The sequence below is a fragment of the Homo sapiens genome, chromosome 15, assembly GCF_000001405.40.
Source record: "Homo sapiens chromosome 15, GRCh38.p14 Primary Assembly".
Classification (NCBI taxonomy): Eukaryota; Metazoa; Chordata; class Mammalia; order Primates; family Hominidae; genus Homo; species Homo sapiens.
The window spans coordinates 34,020,796-34,039,856 of NC_000015.10; the positions used below are offsets into that span (position 1 = coordinate 34,020,796).

A 19,061-nucleotide genomic window follows, 5' to 3' on the forward strand; every position below is an offset into this window, starting at 1 on the left:
TTTTACTTGTTTTTATAAGAAAAGGGCCAAACTCCAGCCCTAACCAGTAAAAGCTGTTTGATTTGCCATTTTGTATTAAAAAACAAATGGACCTACCAAAATTCTCTTCCTTTTAAGCACCTACCTTATATGGAGACAGTCTATATGCACACACTGACCAAATGGTGAGGAATGAATCACTGGGCCATGCATCTGAAAAGTCTTTTTCTGCATATACACTTTACCTGACAGAAAATGATTTCATGTATGCTTCTCTAGCTTTCCAGCATCTGAAGCTCCTCTTTTGAATTTATTCTCCTTTTCAGTTCTTCCCCGATGAAGAGTCTATAAAATGCCTATCTTTTCTCATTTGTGGCCTGGGTGAATTTTTCTATGAAAAAATTGCATCTTTTTCTTTTTCTTTTTTTGGAGATGGAGTTTTGCTCTGTCGCCTCCCAAGTAGCTTAGGCTACAGGCACACACCACCCCACTCAGCTAAAAAATATTTTCTGTATCTTTTTTTTTTTTGAGACGGAGTTTCACTCTTGTTGCCCAGACTGGAGTACAATGGCGCCATCTTGGCTCACCACAACCTCTGCCTCCCGGGTTCAAGTGATTCTCCTGCCTCAGCCTCCTGAGTAGCTGGGATTTCAGGCACACACCACCATGCCCAGCTAAGTTTGTATTTTTAGTATATACGGGGTTTCTCCGTGTTGGTCAGGCTGGTCTGGAACTCCTGACCTCAGGTGAGCCACCGCGCCTGGCTTATTTTCTGTATCTTTAAGAGCACTTACACATGGCCGTGTAAGGTGGCTCATGCCTGTAATCCCAGCACTTTGGGAGGCCAAGGTGGGCAGATCATTTGAGGTCAGGAGTTTGAGACCAGCCTGGCTAAAATGGTGAAACCCCGTCTCTACTAAAAATACAAAAATTAACTGGACATGGTGGCAGGTGCCTGTAATCCCAGCTACTGGGGAGGCTGAGGCAGGAGAATCACTTGAACCCAGGAGGTGGAGGTTGCAGTGAGCCGAGGTTGCGCCACTGCACTCCAGCCTGGGTGGACAGCGCAAGACTCCATCTCAAAAATAAAAATAAAATAAAATAAAATAAGAGCACTTCCACATGGCAACATTAACATGAAAAAGAAGTGAGCACCCACAGCACTTGTGCAAGCAGCATTCTTAAAGTCCATAGAAAGCAAATGACAACTACTGCAAAATTTGTACTTAGAGAATTCAAGTGCAAATATTTTGTAGATGGAATAAGACGGCATTGTTTGCAATAAGGACAAGTACATGCATTATATTTAAAACCTACTCCTGCCACACAATGCATGACATTTGAAAGCTGTTTGGCTGGCATGCCCTTCTTTTCTAGCTGAACTGCTTTCTATTGCTCCTCAGACATCAAATGAATGGCATCATGGCCCCATGTTAGCAAAAATTCCTTCTTTCCAATCCTGACAATTTTAACCAGAATGGAGAAATAAGAAAACATTTTTCAGAGGCAGAACAATTAACAAGACAATTTTCCCCATGACAAGACAGAATACTACTATAATCTGCATCTCCCTTCTGCAGCTCTTTTCAATTGTGACCTTTAGGAAGCTCTCCCAACATTAGGGAGGAAAAAATATTTAATTAAAAGAAAGGGCAGCAAAGGCGCCTACAGAAGGGAGAAAGCTTTTACCTTGTATTAGAGAAAGGTGGATTTTCTCAAAGCTCCCCATCCATCAGAACAAAATGCAAATCCCAGGATCAGGACTACGCAGCAGGAAGGGTACACAAACTTTGAGGCTGGGCCACAGCCTGACATGCAAGCCTGAACATCTGCATGCTGGTAAAATTCCCTTGGAGTTAGAATACTAACATTATGGTTGCCTTACACCTTTTGCATAAGTATGAGATTATCTCTCTGCTTCACAGAATTTTAAAGACTCCAAGGATTCTGCCCACTGTGATTAAAAAAGGAAAGCATTCCCCCAACACACACACACTCTCCAGCTTACATTTTCCTGACCTTCTGGCTGGAAGGATGAGATTTCTCTTGGATTTTTGCTACCTCTGTACCACCACTGCAGCTCTGCTGAAAGCTTGCCTTTGGCTCAAAGCCAGATAGAAAAGAACAATGAGGCCGGGCGCGGTGGCTCACGCCTGTAATCCCAGCACTTTGGGAGGCCGAGGCGGGCGGATCACAAGGTCAGGAGTTCAAGACTAGCTTGGCCAACATGGTGAAACCCCCATCTCTACTAAAAACACAAAAATTAGCCTGGCGTGGTGGTGTGCGCCTGTAGTCCCAGCTACTCAGGAGGCTGAGGCAGAACTGCTTGAACCCAGGCAGAGGCTGCAGTGAACTGAGATCGCGCCACTGCGCTCCAGCCTGGCAACAGAGCGAGACTCGGTCTCAGAAAAAAAAAAAGGAAAAGAACAATGAGAAACTTACCCCTCTCATCCCCCACTCAGGTTGCTACTCCAGGCTTTCACTTCACAATCTGCCAGCTTTTCTTTACTTTTCTGAGTCCTCAGGTAATCTGCCCACTGAGTTTGGTTGCTATCAGCAAAAGAAATAGGCTGTGGTGGGCTAACCTCATCTTGGCCGAGTCCTCCCTAGTAATCTTAGTAACAGTTGTTGCGGCAGCATCTCTCTTGGCCACATCACATAATGATAGCCGATACACACCAGAGCTCAGGCGCAGCCCACCTCTCACCTTCCTCTTGATGATGCTGTCAGGGTAGAGAAAGCCTGGTCATTCATTCTTGCAAAACCTGAGATTCAGTGCACAATTTCTTAACCTCCTCTTAGGTGTCACCATTTATTTCAGACTCTAACAAAAGATGGAAGAAAATAAAAAAACTCTCTGACCTCTGGAACACTGTCCTATTCTTGCCCCTACTCTGTAAGCCTCTGTTGCTTGCCATCCCTTCAATCACGCCAGGCTTAAAAGGCCAGGTGAGCAGTTAAATATTAAAAGTAAACAGCTGCTTATTGTGTGCTGCTAGCAACTAAAAAGACCTAATCTATACACCTTCAGGCTGTGAAGGGCATCAAAGAAAGAAAACATGTGTTAGAAATTCTGACAGATGCCACGTTTTTGGCCAGGGAAATTTAAACTCATTCTGGCTCTTTTTATTGATGGCAAAATAGAGGACTCTATCCAGAGAGGAGCCCAGAGAGTGGATTTGATTTCAGATGTAAGCTAAACCTCTTCTCCCTTCACTGGTTTTAATCGTAACAGGAAAAGCATAAAACCTGCTACCAGAAAATAAATGTGAATGTTTCCAGAATACTGCAAGTAATCCCTTGCTTAAACACAAAATCCTTTATTCAATTACACAACAAATATCTACTGAGAGCTGATACTATGCCAGGCATTAGTCAGTGTGCTTGGATTATAGCAGTGAACAAGACCAATTCCATGCACCCATGAAGTTTGCATTCCACCAGAGGAGTCAAACAACAAAAAAGGAATACTTTATAATGCTATTATAAATACATAAGACACCATCACTTCAGGTAGTGATAAATGGTATCAAAATAAAGTAGGTATGAGATGAAGAGTGATGGGCGGCAATCTCTATGAAGAAACCTCTGAAGGCTGGGCGTGGTGGCTTACACCTATAATCCCAGCATTTTGGGAGGCCAAGGCCAAGACTGCACCACTGCCCTCCAGCCTGGGCAACAGAATGAGACCCTGTCTCAAAAAAAAAAAAAAAAAAAAAGAAGCACTTTGCTCACAGAATATTCATTAAGGAAAACTATCAAATTAAAACTACAAATTACTATAAATAAAAAGGAAGGCCAGGCACAGTGGCTCACATCTGTAATCCCAGCACTTTGGGAGGCCGAGGCGGGCGGATCATGAGGTCAGGAGTTCGAGACCAGCCTGACCAACATGGTGAAACCCCGTCTCTACTAAAAAAAAAAAAAAATACAAAAATTAGCCACGCATGGTGGCACACGCCTGTAATCCCAGCTACTCAGGAGGCTGAGGCAGGAGAATAGCTTGAACCCAAGAGGCAGAGGTTGCAGTGAGCCGAGATCGTGCCATTGCACTCCAGCCTGGGCGACAAAGCAAGACTCCTTCTCAAAAAAAAAAGGAAAAAATAAAAAGAAAGAAAGGTGGCGAGGCCGGGCATGGTGGCTCACACCTGTAATCCTAGCACTTTGGGAGGCCAAGGCAGGTGGATTACCTGAGGTCAGGATTTTGAGACCAGTAGAGAACCCCGTCTCTACTAAAAATACAAAAATTAGCTGGGCATGGTGGTAGGAGCCTGTAATCCAGCTACTTGGGAGGCTGAGGCAGGAGAATCGTTTGAGCCCGGGAGGCAGAGGATGCAATAAGCAGAGATCGCACCACTGCACTCCACCCTGGGCGATGGAGTGAGACTCCATCTCAAAAAAAAGGGTGGCATTTGAGGTGAGCATGTGAAAATGAATAAGATTCTGAAATATGAAGTGTGGGAGGGAAATGTAATTTACTAGAGTTTTGGTTGCAAACTATAGAAACCAACTCTGGCTAATTTAGGTAGAAAAGGAATTTACTAAAAGAATTTCTAGTAGCTTATAAAATCGACAAGAAGTTTAGAGAAATAGGCTGAATAAAAAATGAGCAGGAAGCAGGCAGCTGAGAACCCAGCCACAGGAACAATCAGAGAAGTAGACTAGAGTGGTTAGGATGCCATGGTAACTGCCATAGTGAAGACTCTCTTAAGTGTCCCTTCATCCATACATCATTGCTCAAGACTCGAAGCCTAATAAAGGACGTTATTGGGTCATCTGGTGAAACCTCTGTAAGGTTAAATAGAATTGTAGCAATGTTAATGTCCTGATTTTGATAATTGTGCAATGGTTATAAAAGATTTCCTTGCTTTTAGGAAATACACATTGAAGTGTTTAGGGGTAAAGACGCATCATATCCACCGCTCAAAGGTTCAGAAGAAAAAAAAATTGTGTGTGTGTGTTTTTGTTTTGGTTTGGTTTTGCGTGTGTGTGTGTGTTTGTGTGTGTGTGCGCATGTGTAAAGCGGAGGAAGGAGAAAAAGACAGGCACTGGACCTGTCCAAACTCAAGTGATCATCTTGCCCCACAAAGCCCGTGTTTACACTTACCACACACAATACCACATAATCTCACCACCCAGAGATAATCCTTACAGTTTTTATGTGCAGTCTTGCCTACCTGTCTTCCCTATTTTTATAATCACAATATATTTGTAGAATCGTCTTTTCAAATTGGAATATATCTATGTTTCTGATAATACACAACAGTAAAAAATATGAATAAAGGAAAGACAAAGTTCTACATAATCCCTATATTTTCTCTACTCCAAACACAGATTAAGTTTGATATTCTTCTACCCTTTTCAGAGTTTTAAATGCATACATATACCTTATAATTTCCACATATTGTCATTTTTTTTTTACTTAAAAGTCTTATGACATCTTCCCAGTTTTATGAGAAAAGAATATACATCAAATGTTAACAGTGGTTATTTCTGGATGATGATACTAAAGGGCACTTTTATTTTCTTCTTGGTATTTTTCCTACTATGTGACAGCAAAATAGATGAAGCTTTTAACCTCAGGGTGTAACTTTTAACCTTAGGATATAACTTTTAACCTTTTATATTAAAGGGGAGGAAAGGAAACACGGATTAATTTTGATGACAAGGGGAGATATGTTGAGAAAGGTCATACTTGAGATGAGTTTGGAATTGAAGAAATCATATAAGGAAATCAGGAGGTAATGTGTGTCAATCACATATAAGCTGACGTCACCCAGGATGTAGTAAAAAATATAAACTATAAATCAGGTACTCAAATTTTCCAAGGAATGATGAAAACAGGCCCATGAAAAGATAGACAATCAGAACAAGGATCACTGAGGACAAGAGGAAAAAAAATGATAGACTATCACATTTCACTAAGTAACTAAATCACTAGTTTTTGCCTTCTTAATACACTGATATGGATATGTGATCAATTCCAAATTGACAGTTTCAGAAAAAGTAAGTCGCTCACATTAAATATTAAAAACTTCCCCTGCGGTCTTTTGTTCAACCTTAAGAGAGTTCTGTGCTTTGGCTGAGCCAAAAACTCTGTTGTTCCAAAGACTAGAACTGTGGCCTACGTATAATAGAATTAAAGAGTGACATGATGTGTTTTGTCCCAAAGGAAGAAGTTTCTAACAATTAGAGATGCCCAAGAGTGGCAATGGCTGCTTCAAAAAATAGAATAGAAGTACTTCCAGAATGATAAAGACCTCTGCAAACCCACTCTACTACAAAAGCAACAAGAACACTGACAAAAATTGTCAACATATACTCTTTCAAAACTCTGCAAAGTAGCCAAAGACTCACAAAAGTCCAAGGAGTGTTTATTTAAAACAGCTAAATCTCAGTATGAACAGTAACGTGCCCCATTCCCATTCCACTCTACTCTGGTCTGCAGTTGCTTTGAAAATGAACAGCCTCGGCTCATACCTGTAATCCTAGCACTTTGGGAGGCTGAGGCAGGCTGATCACCTGAGGTCAGGAGTTCAAAACCAGCCTGGCCAACATGGCGAAACTCTGTCTCTACTAAAAATACAAAAAATAAAAATAAAAAAACAGCCAGGCGTGTTGGTGGGCACCTGTAATCCCAGCTACACAGGAGGCTGAGGCAGGAGAATCGCTTGAACCCGGAAGGCAGAGGTTGCAGTGAGCTGAGATTGCACCACTGCACTCCAGCCTGGATGACAAAGAGAGACTCTGTCTCAAAAAAAAAAAAAGAAAGAAAACGAACAGCCTCACAACTATGGTAACTGTGAAAACCAGCATCCTTGGATCCACTAAAAGGGGCAGAAAAGTTTGCCAAAAGCCCCATTCCCAGGAGGCTGACACCATTTGACCTCCCTGACAGCTCTGTGAAAAACTCCATTCTCAGGCCTTGACGTTATCCACCAGACTCATTTCACTCTGTGCAAACAGTCCTATTACCAGAGAGTTTGTCAAAAACAATCAGCAACAAGGGTTTAAAATCACAGCTACCTGAGGCAAGGATCAGGTGAGGCTCAAAAAAAAAAAAAAAAACTGACAAAAACCTTAAAGGAAAAAACTGAGGAACAAGATGTTCAAGAGGGCATTGTAGAACGTTGACATTACTGGGAATCTGGAAGATATACACATGTCCAAGGCTGTGGTCATGCGCAGAAAAGATCTGAGAAGGCCCTAATATCTCACCTCTGGCTGCCCTTAAGGCTCTGCACAGGCAGGAAGTAAACACTAAGGCAGAGGTGTAAATTTCCTAGCAGAGCACTGAAAGCATAAGCATACCCCACACACAGAGAGACCCCCCCTCAGCAAAAGCTGGGAGACTTCATGCTTCAAGCCATTTAAAAAATTTTTTAATGAAGAAAGATAATACATATTCCATAAATAATAAGATTCTAAATATTCTATACACATATGTTCATGTGTATGTATGAATGAGTATATAGTTTGCATCTGACCTACACACTGTAACAAGAGAAGGCCAGGTGCAGTGGCTCACACCTGTAGTCCCAGCACTTTGGGAAGCCAAGGCAGGTGGTTCACTTGAGCCCAGGAGTTCGAGAGCAGCCTGTGCAACCTGGCAAAATCCCGTCTCTATAAAAATAAAAAAATTAGCCAAGCATGGTGGCACACATCTATTTGGTCCCCATATTCAGAAGGCTGAGGTGGGAGGATCACTTAAGCCAAGGAGGTCAAGGCTTTGGTGAGCTATCATCATGCCATGGGCACTCCAGCATGGGTAACAAAGTGAGATCTTGTCTTAAAACAAACAACAACAACAACAAAAAAGAAGACCCTGAATGAGAGAGGACAGCAAAGTGGCAAAGTGACTATAAATATAGTAAATATATTGTGTTCATCTAATGTCAGTCCTTACAACAGCTGTGTAAGGTAGATATCCTTAATCACCTTTCACAGGCGAGGAAACTGAGGCTCAGGAAGTTTCAGTAACTTTCCTGAGATTTTACAACTAGCACATGGGGGGTGAGAAGATAGGATTCTAACCAGTCTGTTAGACTGCAAAACACACCACCATCATCGGCCACCACATTGTACCTTCACCTGAAAGAAAGAGGAAAAACACACAGATGCCAGAAAAAAAAAAATTGGGAGAGAAAGTAAGGCAAAAAGCAGAACACTTACTTGGTTTTGAGAGGTTATATCTTAGTTATTCATTTGTCTATAAATTTATTTACTACCTTGAAATAACAATTACTATTTGTCCACAACTCTTCACCTCTAATCCTCAAGTTTTCAGAGATTCCCCTCTGCAGACGTTCATGCTACCCACCAGAGTAGACATTCATTCTCAGGCTTCCACAGCACCTTCCCCTCTCCATCCAGGGACAGAAAACAGCTGAGGCTCAAACCTGAACCCTCCATCACCCCCACCACCGCCACTGCCAACTCTAAAAACCCTCTACTTTAAGTTTACTTCCATATTGTAAAAATGAAAAACAATTCAACATGTATGTTTAATTTTTCTTTCCAAGGTATGTAAAATACGTGCTCATAAAATAACACCTGGCCACATCTTAATTCAATAATTCCCTTGGCTGACTACCAGAATAAGAGGGGGAAAAAAAAGTTTTAGGAACCGGGCAAGGTGGCTCATGCCTGTAATCCCAGCACTTTGGTAAGCCGAGGCAGGGGGATCACTTGAGTCCAGGAGTTCAAGACCAGCCTGGGCAACATAGGTAGACCCTATTTCTACAAAAAAAAAAAAAAAAAAAAAAAATTGAAAAGGAAATGGTTTTAAAACTTTAGGAGTTGTTTACATATTCATAGTACTACTGACTTTAAAAAGAAAAGAAGCAGCAAAACAAAACACAACACTTGGGAATGGAGTGAAGGACACCAAGGGAAAATAGGAAGCCAAGCTTTGTCTTCAGAATAATACTCATTTTTTCATCAAGGTTTGCTCCCAGAAAAATCATAACTTCCTTGGAAGGAATTGAAGTGTAATGTATCTGTAATAGGGATTAAGACTTCTTTAATAATATAAGACTAATCTTCAATTAGCCCAAATATTGAACAGAGACACTCTATTTTATTATCAGCCTTGTAGTAAAAGGAAAAAATGATGTTGAAACATTCTAGTCCTCAATATCATGAATCCAGCTCACTAGAATGTGAACTCTAGATTCACAATAGAACTATAAATTCCAAGCCGAGCATGGTGACTCACACTTGTAATCCCAGCACTTTGGGAGGCCGAGGCAGGCGGATCACTTGAGGTCAGGAGTTCGAGCCCAGCCTGGCCAACATGGTGCGACCCCATCTCTACTAAAAATACAAAAATTAGCCAGGCATGGTGGCACATGTCTGTAATCCCAGCTACTCGGGAGGCTGAGGCAGGAGAATCTCTTGAACCCAGAAGGCAGAGGTTGCAGGGAGCTGAGATCACACCACTGCATTCCAGCCTGGGTGACAGAGTGAGTGAGACTTCATCTCAAAAAAAGAACTATGAATTCCAAATCCACTATGTCAATAAAATTCACATTGCATGAAACTTTTTGAGAATACTAGGTTTTGGGGGGTTTTTTGTTTTGTTTTGTTTGAGACGGAGTCTTGCTCTGTCGCCCAGGCTGGAGTGCAGTGGCGCAATCTCGCTTCACTGCAAGCTCCGCCTCCCAGGTTCATGCCATTCTCCTGCCTCAGCCTCTCAAGTAGCTGGGACTACAGCTGCCTGCCACCTCGCCCGGCTAATTTTTTTGTATTTTTAGTAGAGACAGGGTTTCATTGTGTTAGGCTGACCTTGTGATCCACCCGCCTCAGCCTCCCAAAATGCTGGGATTACAGGTGTGAGCCACCACGCCCAGCCTGGTTTGGGGGGTTTTGTTGAGAAAGAGTCTCGGGCTGTCATCCAGGCTGGAGTGATCATAGCTCACTGCAACCTCCAACTCCTGGGTTAAAAATCTTCCTGCCTCGGCCTCCTGAGTAGGTGGGAATACAGGCGTGCACCACCGTGCCTGGCTAAATTTTTTGTTGTTGTTGTTGACAGGGATCTTGCTTTGTTGCCCAGGCTGGTCTTGAACTCCTGGCCTTAAGCAGTCCTTCCACCTCACCCTCCCAAAGTGCTGGGATTACAGGTATGAGCCACTACACCTGGCCTAAATATTTTTTAATTTTCCCCAAATGTAACTGTGAATGGTCTTTTCAAGCCAGAAATTACAGAAATCCAAAATAGATGACTATGTTCGTTTCACAGAATATACATCTATTAACAAACTCTTGGTGTCAGTAACTTGACACAGTTAAATACAAAAATAGAGGAATCACAACACTGATAATAAGCCAAAAGAATACATATGAGTTTTTTTTTGTAACAGCCTATTATCCCAATTATGCTTTGCTTAGGTTAATTTTTTTTTTTTTTTTTTTTTTTGAGACTGAGTTTTGCTCTTGTTGCCCAGGCTGGAATGCAATGGCGCGATCTCAGCTCACTGCAACCTCCGCCTCCCGGGTTCAAGCGATTCTCCTGTCTCAGCCTCCCGAGTAGCTGGGATTACAGGCGCATGCCACCATGCCTGGCTAATTTTTATATTTCTAATAGCGACAGGGTTTCATCATGTTGGTCAGGCTGGTCTCGAACTCCTGACCTCAGGTGATCTGCCTGCCTCAGCCTCCCAAAGTGCTGGGATTACGGGCATGAGCCACCATGCCCAGACTGCTTAGGTTAATATTAAAATGTTTGCTATCCCTCAATGTAAGTTTGACTTGGTACTAAAGAAATATGGATCAGACAGATTCGTATCAGTCCTTAATGGCAAGAGGACTCAAAGGTAGAATTAAGTTTTTACAACAGGGAATGCATTCCATTAATCTCCTATTTTTTTTTGGATTGTTGTGCTGTTTGCACACACACCAATGATGTGATATGGGCGGTAGGAAACAGCATCCTTGGCAGTGTTGTTCTTCACAGGAATTGCCTTTTAAGCAATTTAAGGCTTACAAAATCAGGTTGGTCAGATTATAACAACAGCATCCTAGCAGCATCAAGATAAAACACACACATCAGTTTGTATTTCTTTTCAGCATCCTCTGACAAAACCCACTCAAAAGTGAAATATTCTCCATAACCATTATCCATGCACTGCCCCATGACACCTTTGTAGAAAATTTTCAGACTAACAAAGCTGTTAATTATTTCCATCCAAGAGAAAAAGTATTAAAGTACTTATTTCTGGCACCTCAACACACACATACGCGCGCACACGCACACACACACACACACAGGGCTTCTAACAAAAGAAAAAAAAAATCAAAGAGAACTAATCCAGTGCCGTAATAAGTTAGTCAGTAGCTTCTATCAAATAGAAATTACTATGTGTCACTATGGTCTTTATTGCTCCCTTTGATACTTCAAAGTGCATCAAGAAATAGTGACATCTGAATAGAAAACACCTTTGCAACCACCTAATTTCTAGAAAAAGGCTAGTTAAGTCATGCTATGGTGTGGTTAGGATCAAATGACCTACGTAACCTCTCTAGAGGTCACTTGCCCAGTGCTGTAAAAAGTAATCACTACTTTTTCTGGAAAAAAAATAAGAAAACCAACAATGACTTAGTACCTACTCTTCCAGAAAACACATGCCAGTGGTATCGATTTATGAGCGAGCTATTTTCCATCCTAGCAGCAGTTTAAAACAAAGAGAGTAACACTATTAAGAATGACAAAACCTGGAAACCATATTCTGCAAATGATGGATAGCCAGAAAACAAAAAAGCTCTGAATGAATTCATGCAATGAACCATCTTACTAAGAAACAAAGGGGCTATGATCTTAGCTGTCCTCAAAACGGAGTGTGCACATACCTAGGGGTTCAGAAAGATTTTCCAAGGAGTATATGAGCAGTATGTTTTTCAGGGAATCAACTTCCAGATATTCAAGATCCACGGTCTTTCCCAAAAGCAGTCTACCCTAGAAGGCACCTGAAGACAGCACAACTGCTTTTCAGCCATTCTCAATCTGGCTGTATTCCCCAAGCCTCAACAATAGGATAATTTTAAATATAGATGTTGAGGATGTGTAACTCTAAAGAACATGTAATATGTCCTTTTGCAAATCAGGTAGTTCCAATTATTTGCTTTCAATCAAAGTGATGGAGAACCTAATACAGTCATCACTTGACAGATTCTTAAAATACTTTAAAAATAACTTTTTGGCATACAAGTAGAGATATTTAATGAACTGAGTGACATTGATATGGCAAAACTCCAACATTCCCATCTACCTATTTATGTGAACAATGTTTCTCAATCCTTACATCTATAAAATCAAAAATTAGGAAAAGAATTGACACTGAATCCTATCTCGTGCAGGCAATAAGTAATGTTCATCCACGGATACTCAAACTCACTAGGGAAAATGAGACTCATTCACAATGAAGTTTTACCTTTATGTTTAATAACTGCAAGGCTGGGCGCGGTGGCTCATGTCTGTAATCCTAGCACGTCAGGAGGCAGAAGCGGGCGGACTGCCTGACCTCAGGAGTTCAAAACCAGCCTGAGCAACACGGTGAAATCCCGTCTCTACTAAAATACAAAAAATTAGCCGGGTGTGGCGGTGTGCACCTGTAGTCCCAGCTACTCAGGAGGCTGAGGCAGGAGAATTGCTTGAACCCAAGAGGCGGAGATTGCAGTGAGCCGAGATCGTGCCACTGCACTCCAGCCTGGGTAACAGAGCGAGGCTCCGTCTCAAAAAAAAAAAAAAAATTGCAAATCAAAATAACTGTATATATTAATCAATGTAATCTTAATTCAATCTAAAAGAAAAAGTAGCACCCAAGCCTGTAGAGTTATATAACATTTTTTAAGTCAACATTTATTACAGGAAGACATGAAATGGTAACCACTAAAAAACTTTCAAGTATGAAATATATTCTGTTGAATAAGGTTCTGTGGGAGATGGGGAATTAAAATACAAGTAAAAAAGAATAAGAAACAATGGAAATCTTCACACTACTAAAGAGTTGGGTTTTGTTTTTTGTTTTTTGTTTTGAGATGGAGTCTCATTCTGTCTCCAGGGTAAAGAGCAGTGGCGCAATTTCGGCTCACTGCAACCTCCGCCTCCCAAGTTTAAGCGATTCTCCCGCCTCAGCCTCCCAAGTAGCTGGGATTACAGGTGCGCGCCACCATGCCCAGCTAACTTTTGTATCTTTAGTAGAGAGGGGTTTCACCATTTTGGCCAGGATGGTCTCAATCTCTTGACCTTGTGATCTGCCCACCTCAGCCTCCCAAAGTGCTGGGATTACAGGCATGAGCCACTGCGCCCAGCCTAAATAATTTATTAATGTGATTTTTAAATGGCTAAAGGCAAATATCAAATCACTCTAGTATTTAAAATCCATCCAGAGCCAAGTGTGGTGACTCACATCTGTAACCCCAGCACTTTGGGTGGCTGAGGCGGGAGGACTGCTTGAGCCCAGGAGTTTGAGACCAGCCTGGGCAAGACAGTGAGACCATGTCTACAAAATATAAAAATATTAGTTGGGTATGGTGGTTCACGCCTGTACTCCCACCTACTCAGGAGGCTGAGATGGGAGGATCCCTTGAGTACAGCAGTTGAAGGCAGCAGTGAGCTTTGCTCACACTACTGCACTCCAGCGTGAGCAACAAAGTGAGACCCAGTTTCTTTTTTAAAAAAAAAAAAAAAGGAAAAGAAAAAATCAATTTATAAAAATTGTGTTTTTATTTAAAAAGTCAATATATACAATATGTTGGAAATTTTATATTTTGAAATTCTCTGATCCATTGATAAAAATGTTAGATATAAACTTTAAAGTACATTGTACATGGTTTCCCAAAATTTTTTTAGGCAGAATACAAGCAAAAAAGTTCAGTTGTCTGTGTTGATATTGAAAATATGTAAGTGAAATAGTGGTCAGTGAGAAAAGCAACTTAAAAACAGAATATGTTAACAAGGATAAGGATGCCAAAATAATTACAGTGTGTGTGCAATGGTTTGCAGCAGGAGGAGAGGTCAATTTCATGGATTACCAAGAACTAATCTTAAAGCAATCTTCTGTTGGGACACTTAAGCACATTCAGTTTCTAACCAAATTTGCTTCAGGCTTTCTGGAAAAAAAGGAAAATAAAGTCTAGAGGCTGTCATTTCAGTTTGAGCTTTTAACAGGCTCTCAGTCTCTAGCTGGCTGACAAGCGGCTGGTGGCTACTCTGAGCAACAATGAAGGAGCAAGTCCTTAGACACCTGCCTGTAACTGATCTGACACCATTTCTTCCCTCCAGGTTCACACTAAACTTGAATAGAAAATTAGAGATTTCCTTTTTACCCAGTGAAATGAAAATGTCAACGCCATCGGGTATTAATTACTACTCAGGCTTTGTTTACAAAGCAAAAGTTTGATCAGAATTAAATGCCTCCAGATTCTACTTTTTAGTACAACTATAAACAGCTGTCTCATCTTTTATTGAATATAAATCATTTTAAAAGGAATATGAAAAGCTGCAATATAAACATGGAGCAAGAAAGCAAAGGTCTGGTAACACCCACAATAACTGAAGATGGTACCAATGTTACCTTAAAACCTTATAACCATACTAACATATCAGTTAAAAAAATAATCAGGCATGTGAAAGAATCACTCAACAGTCCTCCACACACCCCTTTTTCAAATCTCAAAGTCATTCCAGGAGCAGTTTAGAGCAGCAGTCGAAAGAACAGGCTCTGGAGTGAAAATGCTGGGGTGGAATCCAGGCTCAGCAATTTTCTGGTTGAGTGATATTAAAAAGTTATTTCACCTCTCCTAACTGTGAGTTATTTAACGGTGCCTCAGCTGTCTCATCTTATATTAAGTACTCGACAAATGTGAATTACTGTTATTACTAGAGGAAGGAAAAAAGAAAAAAAATTCCAAAGACTACCAGCTGGCCTTGTCTTCCTCTCTGCTAACAGCCCATCACAAAGATAAATACTAAACAATCCTAGTATTGGGGGCAGTGATAGGGGGATTATTTATTCATTTAGTTAGTAAGTTAGTTATTTGAGACAGAGTCTCACTCTATTGCCCAGGCTGGAGTGCAGTGGCAGGATCACAGCTCACTGCAGCCTCCACCTCCGGGGCTCAAAACAATCCGGCTGCTTCAGCCTCCCTTGTAGCAGGGACTACAGATGCACCCCGCCATGCTCGGCAGTTTTGTATTTTTTTTATAGAGAGGGGGTCTCGTTATGTTGCCCAGTCTGGTCTCGAACTCCCAGACTCAAGTGACCCACCCACCTCAGCCTCCCAAAGTGCTGGGATTACAAGCGCGAGCCACCACACCCAGCCAGTTTTGTGTTTTTTTTTTAAAGTTAATGATTGTATCTAGTACAATAATGCTTCTAGTGAGTATTCCGTGAAGATAATTATGCTCACCCATAATCAGTAAGCTTAGAGCTCAGACCATTTACAGAAGGAATGATTTAAGAGCAAGAGACTAAGAGATGTACTCAACTTAGTACTCAACTAAGTTACCCTGGAGTATTACATAGCTATGTAGAAGTTGGTTAGATTGATTTTGTTTTCCATTTGTATGCAGTGGTCCAAAATAGAAAGCAAAGGTGTACACAAAATTGGTTTCTGAAGGTGGACAACTGGTCTTTACATGGCTAGGAGTCTATTATGATTTTTTTTTCCTTTGATCATTTCGGTTACTCTCTCCTTGGGGCACAAATGCACCATGGGATATGAGAACAAGAAGGCTTCAGGAAAGTCAATCAATCTTGTCTCATGTAATGGTTAAGCACCAAAAATGGTGTCCTAGCAAGACTAAATACAAACAGTACTTCAGAATCTGAGAAATGGAAGGAACTTAGAGATGACCAATCCAAACCAAAATTAAGGAACAATCTGCCCAACATCCCTCCCTCCAGCTTTGGCTGAAAACATGATGATGAAGGGATAAGACCAACTCGACAAAAGAAAAAGCCTAAAATTTTAACAGAATGTGTTACAATACTATCTTAAATTTTTTAAAGTCTTGTATTATTCTTTCTTTTAATGATATACCATCATGACCAGGCGCAGTGGGTCACACCTGTAATCCATATCCCAGCACCTTGGGAGGCCGAGGCGGGTGGATCACCTGAGGTCAGGAGTTCGAGACCAGCCTGACCAACATGGTGAAACCCCATCTCTATTAAAAATACAAAATTAGCCGGGCAAGGTGGCTCATGCCTGTAATCCCAGCTACTTGGGAGGCTGAGGCAGGAGAATCACTTGAACCCGGGAGGCGGAGGTTGCAGCAAGCCAAGATCATGCCATTGCACTCCAGCCTGGGCAACAAGAGTAAAACTCCGTCTCAAAAAAAAAAAAAAAATATATACCATCATTTCACCCAATTTAATTCAACAGAGATTAACAAAACAGAAGCACCTTCACTCACTCAATTCAACTTAAAGACACTTATTAGTAAAGTCCTGTGCGCCAGACACCATAGTTAACACCAAATGTACCATTACTACAATTACTCTTAAAGCACGATCCCTGCAGCTAAGGAATATCTACTTTGTTCTCAATAAAGTGGTAACTGGTTCACGAAAAAGTAAGAGATAAAATACTGTTGACTCAAGGGCAGCTTGATATAAATCCCAGCTCTGCCACTAGCTGTGAAAGCTTAGGCAAGTCAGTTAACCTGTAAAAATAAAGATTACTCTCTATATATGGATATATAAATAATATATAACATTGTAGTTAATATATAATTACATACTATTATATTACATAATTCTACATTACATATATATTATATATATATAATAGAGTTATAAGAACAAAATGTGATATATAGTGGGCACTAGGTTGGTCTTAGTTTCTGTCATTTACCTTAGTTTCTGTCAGTTTACACGAGGTAAACTGACCCTAAAAATGTTTTTATATCTCATTCAAGTTTTGCCTATTACCTATCTTAATCCTAACAAGATTTAAGTTTGTTACATTTAAATTTAAGTTTTATACTTTTTTTTCCAGCTCTGTATTGCTGTATACAACTACTCTCTTTAGGGATATCTTATCTGCTATGCCCTCAAGATATTGTAAATACTTCAGTAAGAGCAAATTTTGCCTCATGCAAAAAAGAATTTTTTAAATCAGTGTGCATAAGAATGCAGAATATAAAGATGGTCTTGTCCTACAGATGTTAAGGTAACAGAACAACTCATAAAAAGACAGTCCTCTAACTCCTTTAGCTGAGATATGGTTAGCTTTGCCCCCATATATATCATCCCCTGCTCCAATCTCCAAAAACTTCCTTCTATGAATGTGTCAATAAGACTGATGATATTGCTATTAAAACTCAGAACTTGACTGCTCATTTATAAATTGAAAATTCAAAACGACAAAGCCCAGTGCTCGCTGATTTCTACACATACAGGCATAATAAAAGAGAACTACGCTATTACAAAGAACTATGCATCTGGTCCCGCCCCCAAATACTAGAGTCCAGTCGTAGGGGTCATTCTTTCACTCAACAAACTTTTTATTATGCGCCTACTGTGTACTAGGCATTGCACAGACAGTTAACAAAACAGACCAAAAAATCCTTTCCCTCCTAATAACAGGAGCGTGCCCGTAAAGGCTGCCGAGGGACCACGTCGTGGCCGCGCCTCCGTCCCATAGTGGTACTCGTACAGACAGCCCAGCCGGCCCACGGGCCGCCGAGACTTGCAGCCCTGACACACGGCCTTGGCCTCTGGGTTCCTAACCCGGACCCTGGGGCAGGCTGGGAAGCCCTCCTACCCCCACTGTCTCGCGCCAGCCCGGCCAGGAGGCCACGAGGGCCAAGCGCATACCCAGGCGCGCCCCCGCCACCAGGCGCGCCCCCGCGCCACCATCCGCCCGTCCCGCGCAGGCGCCGGCGCCGCCGCCCGTCTGGCGCGCGCCTGGCACGCTCTCTTGCGGCTCTTGACTGGCGGCCTCGGCCCCACTTGCCCCAGTTACACGCGGTCCCAGCCCCACCAGCCGTCGCCTCTTACCGGCGCGCTGGCCCCTGCGCCCCAGCCTCCCGGCTCCCGGCGGCTGCCTCGCGGGGCGCCTCCTCCTCCTCGGCCTCCGCGAGCGCCGCGGAAGCCCCGGCCACGGCCACGGCCCCGGCGTCCGCCTCCGTCCCCGCCGCCGCCTCCGCCGCCGCCTCTGGCTACCGCCGCTGCGGCTCCGGGCCGCTCGCTGTGGCGATCTCCGCCAGGCCGGCCGCGGCCTGGCCGCCGCCCACGGCCTCCCCGAGCTCCTCGCTCCGCCTGCATCTGGCCGCCGCTGGCGGTGCTGAGCGCGCGGGAGCCGAGCTGCGGCGGAGACGCCCTGGCCCCACCGGAAGCGGGCCGCACGGAGGAGCCGCGAGCGAAAGGCGCCCGGTAGCAGCGAGGCGCGGGGTGCGGGGCTAGGGATCGAGGCCGGCCGCAGCGGAGCGGGGCGGGGCGGGGCGGCCGGCGTCCCGCAGGTGGGGCCGGAACCGGGACCGCGGGAAGGCCGGACCGCTGGGAGCTGGAAGTGGTGGGGGTCTGCAGCGGGGCGGGGGGATTCTCAAGGCATCAGAGATAGGTTGGGGGAGAGACCGTGCTAAGTGCAAGGACGAGTCATAAAATAAAATTTGTATGATGTGAACTCTCGGAAAAAAAAAGTTTAAACGTATGTATTTGCATAAGAAAAGGTCTAAACAAATACATACTAAAATGTTAGTGGTTAACTGCTGAGATTTGAAGTGAGTTAATTTTTTTTCCTCCGTTTAATCTAATTTTCAGCAACGAATGTGTATCATTTTAAAACTATACCGAAGTCAGGGTTCAGGAGGTGTGGATGTAAAGACAAGAGTTTGTGTCTGGTGAGAGGTGGACTGCAGCACGTGGGAGAGAGAACAGTGCGAAACTGGGAGATGGCTAGAAAGGGCGTCAAAGTCCTCAGCAGAATTTCTGTAGAAATGACTACTACAGCTGACATTTATTGAGCACATGAGTATTTCATTCTCATAACAGCTCTATGAGGTAGGGATGACTGTCATCCTTATTCTGCAGTGAGGTAACAGCCTTGGAAAGGTTAAAAAAAACTTGACTAAAGTG

At 42.7% G+C, this 19,061-nt stretch overlaps 2 protein-coding genes across 13 annotated transcripts in view, besides 6 other annotated features; one reads left to right on the forward strand and one right to left on the reverse strand.

Moving 5' to 3' along the window:
- AVEN (apoptosis and caspase activation inhibitor) overlaps positions 1-19,061 on the reverse strand; it is a 223,545-nt gene that overhangs the window by 169,015 nt on the left and 35,469 nt on the right. For 7 of the 11 annotated variants that reach the window (XR_007064480.1, XR_007064476.1, XR_002957667.2 and 4 more), the window contains exon 1: positions 17,985-18,409. The exons of 3 other annotated variants lie outside the window; for them this stretch is intronic. Coding sequence is in view for 2 of the 8 variants with exons in the window: in NM_020371.3 (NP_065104.1) it covers positions 17,985-18,251 (267 nt within the window). In the remaining 6 variants the exon portion in view is untranslated. Of the gene's footprint in view, positions 1-2,421; positions 2,446-17,984; positions 18,410-19,061 lie in introns of those variants that run through there. One more of the 11 variants, XM_011521820.1, reaches the window with a different exon arrangement.
- Positions 1-19,061, forward strand: part of CHRM5 (cholinergic receptor muscarinic 5) — a 98,962-nt gene that overhangs the window by 52,299 nt on the left and 27,602 nt on the right. The window lies entirely within an intron of this gene.
- Positions 1,672-2,172: an enhancer, noted in NCBI's record as "H3K4me1 hESC enhancer chr15:34314668-34315168 (GRCh37/hg19 assembly coordinates)". NCBI's record gives its function as "activates a minimal SCP1, AML or CMV promoter by ChIP-STARR-seq in naive and primed H9 embryonic stem cells {active_cell/tissue: H9 hESC(naive and primed)}" and the evidence as "EXISTENCE:reporter gene assay evidence [ECO:0000049][PMID:30033119]".
- Positions 2,173-2,673: an enhancer, noted in NCBI's record as "H3K4me1 hESC enhancer chr15:34315169-34315669 (GRCh37/hg19 assembly coordinates)". NCBI's record gives its function as "activates a minimal SCP1, AML or CMV promoter by ChIP-STARR-seq in naive H9 embryonic stem cells {active_cell/tissue: H9 hESC(naive)}" and the evidence as "EXISTENCE:reporter gene assay evidence [ECO:0000049][PMID:30033119]".
- Positions 17,382-17,441: a silencer, noted in NCBI's record as "silent region_6273". NCBI's record gives its function as "represses an Ori minimal core promoter by ATAC-STARR-seq in GM12878 lymphoblastoid cells {active_cell/tissue: GM12878}" and the evidence as "EXISTENCE:reporter gene assay evidence [ECO:0000049][PMID:35858748]".
- Positions 17,792-17,851: a silencer, noted in NCBI's record as "silent region_6274". NCBI's record gives its function as "represses an Ori minimal core promoter by ATAC-STARR-seq in GM12878 lymphoblastoid cells {active_cell/tissue: GM12878}" and the evidence as "EXISTENCE:reporter gene assay evidence [ECO:0000049][PMID:35858748]".
- Positions 17,942-18,151: a silencer, noted in NCBI's record as "silent region_6275". NCBI's record gives its function as "represses an Ori minimal core promoter by ATAC-STARR-seq in GM12878 lymphoblastoid cells {active_cell/tissue: GM12878}" and the evidence as "EXISTENCE:reporter gene assay evidence [ECO:0000049][PMID:35858748]".
- Positions 18,332-18,501: a silencer, noted in NCBI's record as "silent region_6276". NCBI's record gives its function as "represses an Ori minimal core promoter by ATAC-STARR-seq in GM12878 lymphoblastoid cells {active_cell/tissue: GM12878}" and the evidence as "EXISTENCE:reporter gene assay evidence [ECO:0000049][PMID:35858748]".